The sequence below is a fragment of the Homo sapiens genome, chromosome 10, assembly GCF_000001405.40.
Source record: "Homo sapiens chromosome 10, GRCh38.p14 Primary Assembly".
NCBI lineage: Eukaryota > Metazoa > Chordata > Mammalia > Primates > Hominidae > Homo > Homo sapiens.
This window is the reverse complement of record NC_000010.11, coordinates 32,704,020-32,717,031: the sequence shown is the minus strand read 5'-3', so window position 1 is coordinate 32,717,031 and position 13,012 is coordinate 32,704,020. Positions and strand designations below refer to the sequence as shown.

Below are 13,012 nucleotides of genomic sequence, written 5' to 3'. Positions count from 1 at the left end.
GTCCACTTGGTGCAGAGCTGAGTTCAAGTCCTGAATATCCTTGTTAATTTTCTGTCTCATTGATCTAATATTGACAGTGGGATGTTAAAGTATCACACTATTATTGTGTGGGAGTCTAAGTCTCTAAGAACGTTCTTTATGAATCTGGGTGCTCCTGTATTGGGAGCATATATATTTAGGATAGTTAGCTCTTCTTGTTGCATTGATCCCTTTGCCATTATGTAATGCTCTTCGTTGTCTTTTTTGATCTTTGTTTGTTTAAAATCTGTTTTATTAGAGACTAGGATTGCAACCCCTGGGTTTTTCTGTTTTCCATTTGCTTGGTAAATATTCCTCCATCCCATTATTTTGAGGCTATGTGTGTCTCTGCATATGAATTGGATCTCCTGAATACAGCACACCAATGGGTATTCACTCTTTATCCAATTTGCCAGTCTGTGTCTTTTAATTGAGGCATTTTCTCATTTACATTTAAGGTTAAGATTGTTATGTGTGAATTTGATCCTGTCATCATGATGTTAACTGGCTATTTTGCACATTAGTTGATGCAGTTTCTTCACAATGTCACTGGTCTTCATATTTTGGTATGTTTTTGCAGTGGCTGCTACCAGTTTTTCCTTTCCATATTTAGTGCTTCCTTCAGGAGCTCTTGTAAGGCAGGCCTGTGGTGAAAATTCTCTCTCAGCATTTGCTTGTCTGTAATGGATTTTGTTTCTCCTTTGCTTATGAAGCTTAGTTTGGCTGGATATGAAATTCTGGGTTGAAAATTCTTTAAGAATGTTGAATATTGGCCCCCACTCCCTTCTGGTTTGTAGGGCTTCTGCAGAGAGATCTGCTGTTAGTCTGATGGGCTTCCCTTTGTGGGTAACCTGACCTTTCTCTCTGGCTGCCCTTAACATTTTTTCCTTCATTTCAACCTTGGTAAATCTGATAATTATGTGTCTTGGGGTTGCTCTACTCGGGGAGTATCTTTGTGGTGTTCTCTGTATTTCCTGAATTTGAATATTGGCCTGTCTTGCTATTTTGGGGAAGTTCTCCTGGATAATATCCTGCAGCATGTTTTCCAACTTGGTTTCATTCTCCCCGTCTCTTTCAGGTACACCAGTGAATCGTTAAGTTTGGTCTTTTCACATAGTCCCATATATCTTAGAGGCTTTCTTGGTTCCTTTTCATCCTGTTTTCTCTAATCTTGTCTTCATGCTTTATTTCATTAAGTTGATCTTCAATCTTGGATATCCTTTCTTCCACTTGATTGATTCATCTATTGATACTTGTGTATGCTTCACAAAGTTCTCGTGCTGTGTTTTTCAGCTCCATCGGGTCATTTATGTTCTTCTCTAAACTGGTTATTCTAGTTAGCAGTTCCTGTGACATTTTACCAAGGTTCTTAGCTTCCTTGCATTGGGTTAGAACATGCTCCTTTAGCTCAGAGGAGTTTGTTATTACCCACCTCCTGAAGCCTACTTCTGTCAGCTTGTCAAACTCATTCTCTCTCCTGTTTTATTCCCTTGCTGACGAGGAGTTGTGATCCTTTGGAGGAGAAGAGGCATTCTGGCATTTGGAATTTTCAGCCTTTTTGCACTGGTTTTTACTCATCTTCATGGATTTATCTACCTTTGGTCTTTGATGTTGGTGACCCTCAGATGGGGTTTTTGCGTGGGTTTCCTTTTTGTTGATGTTGATACTATTGCTTTCTGTTTGTTAGTTTTCCTTCTAACAGTCCGGCCCCTCTTCTGCAGGTCTGCTGGAATTTGCTGGAGGTCCACTCCATACCCTGTTTGCCTGGGTATCACCAGCGGAGGCTGCAGAACAGTAAAGATTGCTGCCTGCTCTTTCCTCTGGAAGCTTTGTCCCAGAGGGGCACCGGCCAGATGCCAGCTGGAGCTCTCCTGTATGAGGTGTCTGTTGACCCCTGCTGGGAGGTGTCTCCCAATCAGGAGGCACTGGGGTCAGGGACCCACTTGAGGAGGCAGTCTGTCCCTTAGCAGAGCTTGAGCACTGTGTGGGAGATCTGCTGCTCTCTTCAAAGCCAGCAGTCAGGAACATTTAAGTTTGCTGAAGCTGCGCCCACAGCCACCCCTTCCCCCAGATGCTCTGTCCCAGGGAGATGGGAGTTTTATCTATAAGCCCCTGGCTGGGGCTACTGCCTTTCTTTCAGAGATGCCCTGCCCAGAGAGGAGGAATCTAGAAAGACAGCCTGGTTACAGTGGCTTTGCTGCGCCGTGGTGGGTTCTGCACCGAATTCGAACTTCCCAGCAGCTTTGTTTACACTGTGAGGGGAAAACCACCTACTCAAGCCTCAGTAATGGCGACACCCCTCCCCCCACCAAGCTTGAGCATCCCAGGTTGACTTCAGACTGCTGTGCTGGCTGCGAGAATTTCAAGCCAGTGGATCTCAGTTGGGCTCTGTGAGGGTGGGATCCACTGAGGAAGACCACTCAGCTCCCTGGCTTCAGCCCCCTTTCCAGGGGAGCGAATGGTTCTGTCTCACTGGCATTCCATGTGCCACTGGGTTATGAAAAAAACTCCTGCAACTAGCTTGGTGTCTGCCCAAACAGCTGCCCAGTTTTGTGCTTGAAACCTAGGGCCCTGGTGGTGTAGGCACCCAAAGGAATCTCCTGGTCTGCGTGATGCGAAGACTGTGGGAAAAGCATAGTATCTGGGCCAGATGGCACTGTCCCTCATGGCACAGTCCCTCACGGCTTCCCTTGGCTAGGGGAAGGAGTTCCCTGACCCCTTGCACTTCCTGGGTGAGGCAATGCCCCACCCTGCTTCTGCTCGCCCTCCTTGAGCTGCACCCACTTTCTAACCAGTCCCAATGAGACGAACCGAGTACCTCAGTTAGAAATGCAGAAACCACCCACCTTCTGCATTGGTATCACTGGGAGCTGCAGACTGGAGCTGTTCCTATTTGGCCATCTTGCCTGGGAATATAGCCCCCAGTTTTCTAACCAAACTCCCACAGTGGTTCAAATTAGAGAACCAACAAAGGGCTTCTTACAGTATCCTGGCCAGCCACGCTGATAGTCCCTTGGTTGCACAGTGAGAGTGAAAAGAACAGATGATAAGATTGTTGACCAGACTCAGATTTCTAGATTCAGTTATTTCAATTCTGCTGGTTATCAAACCTCCTCCTAAGGTCATGTCAATCAGATATAGTCCAGATATTAACTGGCAAATCTTGAGCATGGAAAACGTGGCTGCTGCCCAGATAGCAAACACTGGCCAATGGAAAGAGTGGCAAAAAAATGGCAATCATGTGCCCTCTGCTGCTCAATCCAGGCAATGGCCTTCTAGAGGAGATCTATGAGATTGGTCACCAAACAACAGGGTCTCAAAGGAGTAGGATTGATGGGCCCCCCAATAGATAGTGAGCCATGGTGGTCCCACCAGGCACTAAGGTCCATATGGTGATGTCCACTATGAACAGTATGAGTGCTATTTTCTCTAACCCTCTCAGTGAATCTTGAGACTTGAGTAGTTTGCTTCCTTGATGAAGGAAGTAATCTTATGAAATTTAGAGTGATACATTGTGGGATCTAACATACAGACCCTTCCTACTTTTACCCAGATCTCTCATCTTTCACAAATAAGCATGACTAGGGGTTAGTACAAGGTCCCTAGGTCCCCAGTGGGGAACTGAGGACCTACACCTAGGACAAAGTTTGAAGTGGGGGTGGGAAAAAATGACATTTCTTGGGCCTTTTGGATACTGGTCAACAAATTACTGTGATCCTCACAATCCCTGACATGAGGACGAGGAGGAAACAAATAATTCTTTCTAGTTTTTAATCTGAGGTCACCACAAACAGGACCTCTTTCTAAACCAACTATGGGGTAGATCCCTTTGGGCCACTATAAACCCCTATTGTCATGGCCTCTACTACTGAATATATTACTAGTTAAATACATTTTCTATATGAACCAACACTAGCATTTACACCCACCTCCTGATGGGATTTGCTGCAGTCCAGGTATTTCGTGGGATATGTGGAAGATCATGACCTACCAAACTACTGGCACGTAGTACCAATGTCTACCAAAACCAGTATTAACACTCTGGGGATAAAAAAGGGAATAATTTCCCTCATTGCCAAGCTTTAAGAACCCAACTATCTGTACACTATTTCTGTATTCAATAGACTCATCTGGCCTATGTGAAAGACCTCAGGTGCCTAAACTCTGTACTGATAAGGGTTCTAAAAAGCATAAGTGCTACCTTTGGCACCAATGGTAACCTGACATTGTGACAGTTACAGAGGCTGTTGTCCAGGATGAAGGAACTTGGTATGTACCAATTGACATAGCAAATGTCCTTTCAGCATTCCTCTCCAAGAGGATGATCAGGATTAGTTAGAATTATGTAGGATAGGTTACAATAAACCACTAATATCTTTCCACAAGGCTTCCAAAATTCCCCAACTATCTGTATCAATGCATAGGTTATGACCTGGACAAAGTTCCACTCCTGGAAGAAGCATTAACTTTCTGAACTGTTTATGAAATCATCCTAGTGAGCTCAGACAAGGACACTACCCAAAAGGAACCAGATGCTCTGTTCACCCACGTGCAGCATGTACTGTGCCATTATCATTGGAAAAGGCACAAGGACCTAAAACCCAAGTGAAATTCCTGGGTGTAATCCGTAAAGGCTATGGTGTAATCTGTAAAGGCTATGGTGCTCCATTCCAGAGATGATGATTGTCGATGCTTTTGGCCAGCTCTGACTCGAAAAGTAAAAATAATGTGAGCAATAAATGGGACCATTCATCTGCTGCCATGCTCACATTCAAGCCACAGAGATCAGACAGCATCCTCTATCAGGTTACCATAAAGACCACTACCTTTGAATGGGGCCTTGACCAGCATGATACCCTGGAAATCCTTCTACTGGCCACCCTGGCTGCCCTTGTACCTCTCTGATTTCCATTTGTTGCTTCAGTTACAGATCTCGGCAATACTTCTGCCTACTGACTGGGACTACAACAGATCAGAGGTGCCCATAAATGGCCAGCAGCAGATGAGAGGTACCCATCTTTTGTGAGACAATTATTGGCCTATTATTGTCCTGAGATGGATACTGAGAGCATAAATTAAGTTGTGTAATAATATTACGACAAGAAATTCTAACCAAAACATATCATTATCTTTGTTTTCTTTCTTGAGTTATGTTAGAGTATTTACAGAGTATAAATTATCAATAAAATATATGTTCTCAAATACGTAAGTATGAACCAAAGAAAAAAGTTCTTTTGAGATTTACTTAAAATAATATAAAATAGCTATCATCATTATACTTACTGCTACGTCCTTCTCCTTCAGAAGTTTCTTGAATCTCTAATTGCACTTGGATTTTTGACACTGAATCTTGATGTTTAAGCATAGGATTTTCACCTGATTCTTCATCATGAGCTATGTTAAGAGAGAAATTTAGTCCCTTACTAGAAAAACAAATCTACTATGAAATCCTAGAGTTCAAATTTATAACAAGTGGAAGCAACATTTTCTTTCATCTTATAAAGTTATAAGTAAACTACCTTAATGCTAGCTCTGACATGAAAATGGTGAGAAAAGTTTCAATGTATGTTGAAGATGTATTATTATTTCATAAATATTCCTAGATATTAAATGTGTTTTATATTAGTCTCTACTTTCCTTAAGTTATTTATACTTTAGGTTAATACATAATCATAGACCAAACAATGAAAATGCATATGTTCAAGGTCATTCATTACAGCATTATTTGTAATTGCAAAGTATTCAAAACCATTGAGATTTTTAAGCACAGGAGACTGGCTGAATGAACATATATATATACACACACACACAGTTATATGTATATATATACACACATGCATATATACATGTATATGTGTGTATGTATATATATATTTATATATATATACACACACACACCAGAAACAATGGTATAATATCAATTATGGTATATAATTATGTGTATCTATGTGTGGATGAATATATATGGTTTATGATATGGTACACATGGCTGTACATACAGTGAGAAGTTACCCTCCCATCTATGCTGATACATCCTACCTTTGCCCAATGTCTTTTTGTGGGAAAATGTAACATTAATGGAGTCAGTGACCTTCCATGTTTACACTCTTGCTTATGTTGTTGCAGTAAGTGAATAAAGGCTTAATTGTTACCTTCAATCTCGCTTGCTATCTTAATTGACCACCTTCACACTTGGCAGCTCCCCTGGTAACAAATGACTGTGAGCAGGGTGGTCAATTAAGCACAATGCCTTTCTGGAAAAGCAAAAAGCATGCAGATCCCCAGGGCATTTGTGGGAGATGCTAGAGTTGAGACCTCTTGGGGGATACTAGTGGATCATTTGCAAGAGTCTGACTGTCCCATGGTGCACTCTGCCAGCCCTATCAGTGGGTCTTAGAAAGTGCTGTCCAACACCATGGGGCACTCTCAGAGAATGCTAGCGGATTGTTTACATAAGCTTTTTGGTTCTGAGGGACACCAGTGGTCCTCCTCTTTAGGCCTAGACTCTCAGGCAAAGATGCCTGGTGGGGCAAATTAGAGATCCAACAGACGGCCTCTGAGAAAGCTAGAGAAGCAATTCCTTGGCCACTGCTATTGTCCCCTGCAGATGAGACTGAAAGTTTTCAGAGAACCTGCGAGCTGATTTGCATCAATAACAGCTCTTAGTTCTAAAGAGGTACCAGGCAATGACAGACAGCTTATGACCCAGCAAGGGATTGAGACTCATGGTTTAAATAAAACGAATGGAGAGCCCTTTGGGATTGCTTTCCTGTGTGATCTAGGAGAATTTAGAGGCATGGATTATTTGCCTGCATGATGAATGAGGTAATCTTGGTAAACTAACTTAGTGGTACCTTGTGGGCTGTGTCACTATAAAACCCCTCCTTTAGAGTGTCATGACAGAATAGGTTTTGCTCAAGGAGGATAAGCAAAGTCAGAGAATGAGAAGGGAACACCCAAGCCCTTCTTTTTCAACTGGGTTCTATTTGGGTTCTGACAACTTTGGCAAACCCATGCTCTCTTCCCTATGACTAAAATACATTTTCAGATTTATCTGGCTATACAGACCCACAAACCATACTGGTGATCCCTTGGTCTCTTGCTTGAGAGTGAGAGCAGTCAATGACGAGAGTGAGAGCAGTCAATGATAAGATTTTTAACAAGTCTCAGATTTCTAGGGTTATAAGTGTCACTCCTACTGGTTATGGAGCCAAATTAAAATTAATCCTCCTCTAAGGTCAGGCAAATTGGTCAGTGAAATAATCTAGATTGGGGTCCCCAGCACCGAGGCCATGACCAGTACTGGTCTCTGGCCTGTTAGAAACCGGGTCACACAGCAGTAGGTGAGCAGTGGGTGAGTGAGCGAAGATTCATCTGTATTTTCAACTGCTCCCCATCATTCACATTACTGCCTGAGCTCTGCCTCCTGTCAGATCACCAGTGGCATTAGATTTCCATAGGAACACAAACCCTATTGTAAACTGCACATCTGAAAGATCTAGGTTTTATTTTTATGGTTAGTTTTCTTATTTATTTATTTTTTTATTATACTTTAAGTTCTAGGGTACATGTGCATAACGTGCAGGATTATTACATATGTATACATGTGCCATGTTGATGTGCTGCACCAATTGACTTGTCATTTACATTAGGTATATCTCTTAATGCTATCCCTCCCCCCTCCCCCCACCCACGATAGGCCTCGGTGTGTGATGTTCCCCTTCCTGTGTCCAAGTGTTCTCATTGTTCAATTCCCACCTATGAGTGAGAACATGTGGTGTTTGGTTTTTTATCCTTGCGATAGTTTGCTGAGAATGATGGTTTCCAGCTTCATCCATGTCCCTACAAAGGACATGAACTCATCCTTTTTTATGGCTGCATAGTACTCCATGGTGTATATGTGCCACATTTTCTTAATCCAGTCTATCACTGAGGGACATTTGGGTTGGTTCCAAGCTTTGCTACTGTGAATAATGCTGCAATAAACATACGTGTGCACGTTGTCTTTACAGTAGCATGATTTATAATCCTTTGGGTATATACCCAGTAATGGGAGTGCTGGGTCAAATGGTATTTCTAGTTCTAGATGCTTGAGGAATTGGCACACTGTCTTCCACAATGGTTGAACTAGTTTACAGTCCCATCAGCAGTGTAAAAGTGTTCCTATTTCTCCACATCCTCTCCAGCACCTGTTGTTTTCTGACTTTTTAATGATCAACATGCTAAGTGGTGTGAGATGGTATCTCATTGTGGTTTTGATTTGCATTTCTCTGACGGCCAGTGATGATGAGCATTTTTTCATGTGTTTTTTGGCTGCATAAATGTCTCCTTTTGAGAAGTGTCTGTTCATATGCTTCGCCCACTTTTTGATGGGGTTGTTTGATTTTTTCTTGTAAATTTGTTTAAGTTCTTATAGATTCTGGACATTAGCCCTTTGTCACATGGGTAGATTGCAAAAATTTTCTCCCATTCTGTAGGTTGCCTGTTCACTCTGATGGTAGTTTCTTTTGCTGTGCAGAAGCTCTTCAGTTTAATTAGATCCCATTTGTCTATTTTGGCTTTCGTTGCCATTGCTTTTGGTGTTCTAGTCATGAAGTTTTTGTCCATGCCTATGATCTGAAAGGTATTGCCTAGGTTTTCTTCTAGGGTTTTTATGGTTTTAGGTCTAACATTTAAGTCTTTAATCCATGTGAATTAATTTTTGTACAAGTTGTAAGGAAGGGATCCAGATTCAGCTTTCTCCATATGGCTAGCCAGTTTTCCTAGCACCATTTATTAAATAGGGAATCCTTTCCCCATTTCTTGTTTTTGTCAGGTTTGTCAAAGATCAGATGGGTGTAGATGTGTGGTATTATTTCTGAGGGCTCTATTCTTTTCCATTGGTCTATATCTCTGTTTTGGTACCAGTACTATGCTCTTTTGGTTACTGTAGCCTTGTAGTATAGTTTGAAGTCAGGTAGCGTGATGCCTCCAGCTTTGTTCTTTTGACTTAGGATTGTCTCGGCGATGCGGGCTCTTTTTTGGTTTCATATGAACTTTAAAGTAGTTTTTTCCAATTCTGTGAAGAAAGTCATTGGTAGCTTGATGGGGATGGCATTGAATCTATAAATTACCTTGGGCAGTATGGCCATTTTCACGATATTGATTCTTCCTGCCCATGAGTATGGGATGTTCTTCCATTTGTTTGTATCCTCTTTTATTTCATTGAGCAGTGGTTTGTAGTTCTCCTTGAAGAGGTCCTTCACGTCCCTTGTAAGTTGGATTCCCAGGTGTTTTATTCTCTTTGAAGCAATTGTGAATGGGAGTTCACTCATGATTTGGCTCTCTGTTTGTCTGTTATTGGTGTGTAGGAACGTTTGTGATTTTTGCACATTGATTTTGTATCCTGAGACTTTGCTGAAGTTGCTTATCAGCTTAAGGAGATTTTGGGCTGAGACGATGGGGTTTTATAAATATACAATCATGTCATCTGCAAACAGGGATAATTTGACTTCCTCTTTTCCTAATTGAATACCTTTTATTTCCTTCTCCTGCCTGATTGCCCGGGCCAGAACTTCCAATACTATGTTGAATAGGCGTGGTGAGAGAGGGCATCCCTGTCTTGTGCCAGTTTTCAAAGGGAATGCTTCCAGTTTTTGCCCACTCAGTATGATATTGGCTGTGGGTTTGTCATAGAGAGCTCTTACTATTTTGAGATACGTCCCATCAGTACCTAATTTATTGAGAGTCTTTAGCATGAACAACTGTTGAATTTTCTCAAAGACCTTTTCTGCATCTATTGACACAATCATGTGGTTCTTGACTTTGGTTCTGTTTATATGATGGATTACATTTATTGATTTGTGTATGTTGAACCAGCCTTGCATTCCAGGGATGAAGCCGGCTTAGCAATGGTGGATAAGCTTTATGATACCCTGCTGGATTCTGTTTGCTAGTATTTTATTGAGGATTTTTGCATCGATGTTCATCAGGGATATTGGTCTAAAATTCTCTTCTTTTGTTGTGTCTCTGCCAGGCTTTGGTATCAGGATGATGCTGGCCTCATAAAATGAGTTGGGGAGGATTCCCTCTTTTTCTACTGATTGGAATAATTTCACAAGGAATGGTATCAGCTCCTCTTTGTACCTCTGGTAGAATTCGGCTGTAAATCCATCAGGTCCTGGACCTTTTTTGGTTGCTAAGCTATTAATTATTGCCTCTATTTCAGAGCCTGTTATTGGACTATTCAGGGATTCAACTTCTTCCTGGTTTAGTCTTTGGAGGGCATATGTGTCCAGGAATTTATCCATTTCTTCTAGATTTTCTAGTTTAGTTGTGTAGAGGTGTTTACAGTATTCTCTGATGGTAGTTTGTATTTCTGTGGGATAATGGGTGGTATCCCCTTTATCATTTTTTATTGCGTCTATTTGATTCTTCTCTCTTTTCTTCTTTATTAGTCTTGCTAGCCATCTATCTATTCTGTTGACTGTTTCAAAAAACTATTTCCTGGATTAATTGATTGTTTGAAGGGTTTTTTGTGTCTCTATCTCCTTCAATTCTGCTCTGATCTTAGTTATTTCCTGGTTTCTGCTAGCTTTTGAATGTGTTTGCTCTTGCTTCTCTAGTTCTTTTAATTGTGATGTTAGGGTATCGATTTTAGATCTTTCCTGCTTTCTCTTGTGGGCATTTAGTGCTATAAATTTCCCTCTACATACTGCTTTAAATGTGTCCCAGAGATTCCAGTATGTTGTGTCTTTGTTCTCATTGGTTTCAAAGAACATATTTATTTCTGCCTTCATTTCATTATTTACCCAGTAGTCATTCAGGAGCAGGTTGTTCAGTTTCCCTATAGTTGAGCAGTTTTGAAAGAGTTTCTCAATCCTGAGTTCTAATTTGATTGCACTGTGGTCTGAGAGACAGTTTGTTATAATTTCTTTGCTTTTACATTTGCTGAGGAGTGCTTTACTTCCAACTATGTAGTCAATTTTGGAATAAGTGCGATGTGGTGCTGAGAAGAATACATATTCTGTTGATTTGTGGTGGAAAGTTCTGTAGATGTCCAGTAGGTCCGCTTGGTGCAGAGCTGAGTTGAAGACCTGGATATCCTTGTTAACTTTCTGTCTCGTTGATCTGTCTAATGTTGACAGTGGAGTGTTAAAGTCTCCCATTGTTATTGTGTGGGAGTCTAAGTCTCTTTGTAGGTCTCTAAGGGCTTTCTTTATGAATCTGGGTGCTCCTGTATTGGGTGCACACATATTTAGGATAGTTAGCTTTTCTTGTTGAATTGATCCCTTTACCATTATGTAATGCCCTTCTTTGTCTCTTTTGATCTTTGTTGGTTTAAAGTCTGTTTTAACAGAGACTAGGATGGCAACCTCTGCCTTTTTTTGTTTTCCATTTTCTTGGTAGATCTTCCTCCATCCCTTTATTTTGAGCCTATGTGTGCCTCTGCACGTGAGATGGGTCTCCTGAATATAGCACACTGATGGGTCTTGACTCTTTATCCAACTTGTCAGTCTGTGTCTTTTAATTGGGGCATTTAGCCCATTTACATTTAAGTTTAATATTGTTATGTGTGAATTTGATCCTGTCATTTTGATGTTAGCTGGTTCTTTTGCTCGTTAGTTGGTGCAGTTTCTTCCTAGCATCGATGGTCTTTACAATTTGGCATGTTTTTGCAGTGGATGGTACCAGTTGTTCCTTTCCATGTTTAGCGCTTCCTTCAGGAGCTTTTGTAAGGCAGGCCTGGTGGCGACAAAATCTCTCACTACTTGCTTGTCTGTAAAGGATTTTATTTCTCCTTCACTTATGAAGCTTAGTTTGGATGGATATGTAATTGTGGGTTGAAAATTCTTTTCTATAAGAATGTTTAATATTGGGGAGCCAAGATGGCCGAATAGGAACAGCTCCAGTCTACAGCTCCCAGCATGAGCAATGCAGAACACGAATGATTTCTGCATTTCCAACTGAGGTGCCGGGTTCATCTCACTGGGCATTGTCGGACAGTGGGTGCAGGACAGTGGGCGCAGCGCACTGAGCGGGACCCGAAGCAGGGCGAGGCATCGCCTCACCCGGGAAGTGCAAGGGGTCAGGGAATTCCCTTTCCTAGCCAAGGAAAGGTGTGACAGATGGCACCTGGAAAATCGAGTCACTCCCAACCTAATACTGCGCTTTTCCAACAGTCTTAGCAAATGGCACACCAGGAGAATATATCCCGCGCCTGGCTCGGAGAGTGCTACACTGACTGACGGAGCGTCACTCATTGCTAGCACAGCAGTCTGAGATCAAACTGCAAGGCAGCAGTGAGGCTGGAGGAAGGGCGCCTGCCATTGCTGAGGCTTGAGTAGCTAAAAAAAGCGGCTGGGATGTTCGAACTGGGTGGAGCCCACCACAGCTCAAGGAGGCCTGCCTGCCTCAGTAGAATCCACCTCTGGGGGCAGGGCATACCCAAACAAAAGGCAGTAGAAACCTCTGCAGACTTAAATGTCCCTGTCTGACAACTGTGAAGAGAGTAGTGGTTCTCCCAGCATGGAGTTTGAGATCTGAGAATGGACTGACTGCCTCCTCAAGTGGGTCCCTGACCCCTGAGTAGCCTAAATGGGAGGCACCCCCCAGTAGGGAAAAACTGACACCTCACACAGCTGGGTACTCCTCTAAGACAAAACTTCCAGAGGAACGATCAGGCAGCAACATTCGCTGATCACCAATATCCACTGTTCTGCAGCTTCCGCTGCTGACACCCAGGCAAACAGGGCCTGGAGTGGACCTCCGGCAAACTCCAACAGACCTGCAGCTGAGGGTCCTGACTGTGGAAGGAAAACTAACAAACAGAAAGGACATCCACACCAAAACCCCATCTGTACGTCGCCATCCTCAAATACCAAAGGTAGATAACAAAGATGGGGAAAAAACAAAGCAGAAAAATGGAAAATTCTAAAAATCAGAGCACCTCTCCTCCTCCAAAGGAACGCAGCTGCTCGCCAGCAATGGAACAAAGCTGGGTGGAGAATGACTT

At 42.3% G+C, this 13,012-nt stretch overlaps 1 protein-coding gene across 44 annotated transcripts in view; it reads right to left on the bottom strand.

Moving 5' to 3' along the window:
• The window catches only part of CCDC7 (coiled-coil domain containing 7), a 439,541-nt gene that overhangs the window by 165,833 nt on the left and 260,696 nt on the right, over positions 1-13,012 (bottom strand). For 43 of the 44 annotated variants that reach the window (XM_047425743.1, XM_047425742.1, NM_001321115.2 and 40 more), the window contains one exon: positions 5,302-5,412. The exons of the other annotated variant lie outside the window; for it this stretch is intronic. In XM_047425743.1, coding sequence (XP_047281699.1) covers positions 5,302-5,412 — 111 coding nt within the window. The remainder of the gene's footprint in view (positions 1-5,301; positions 5,413-13,012) is intronic. 44 annotated transcript variants of the gene reach the window in all.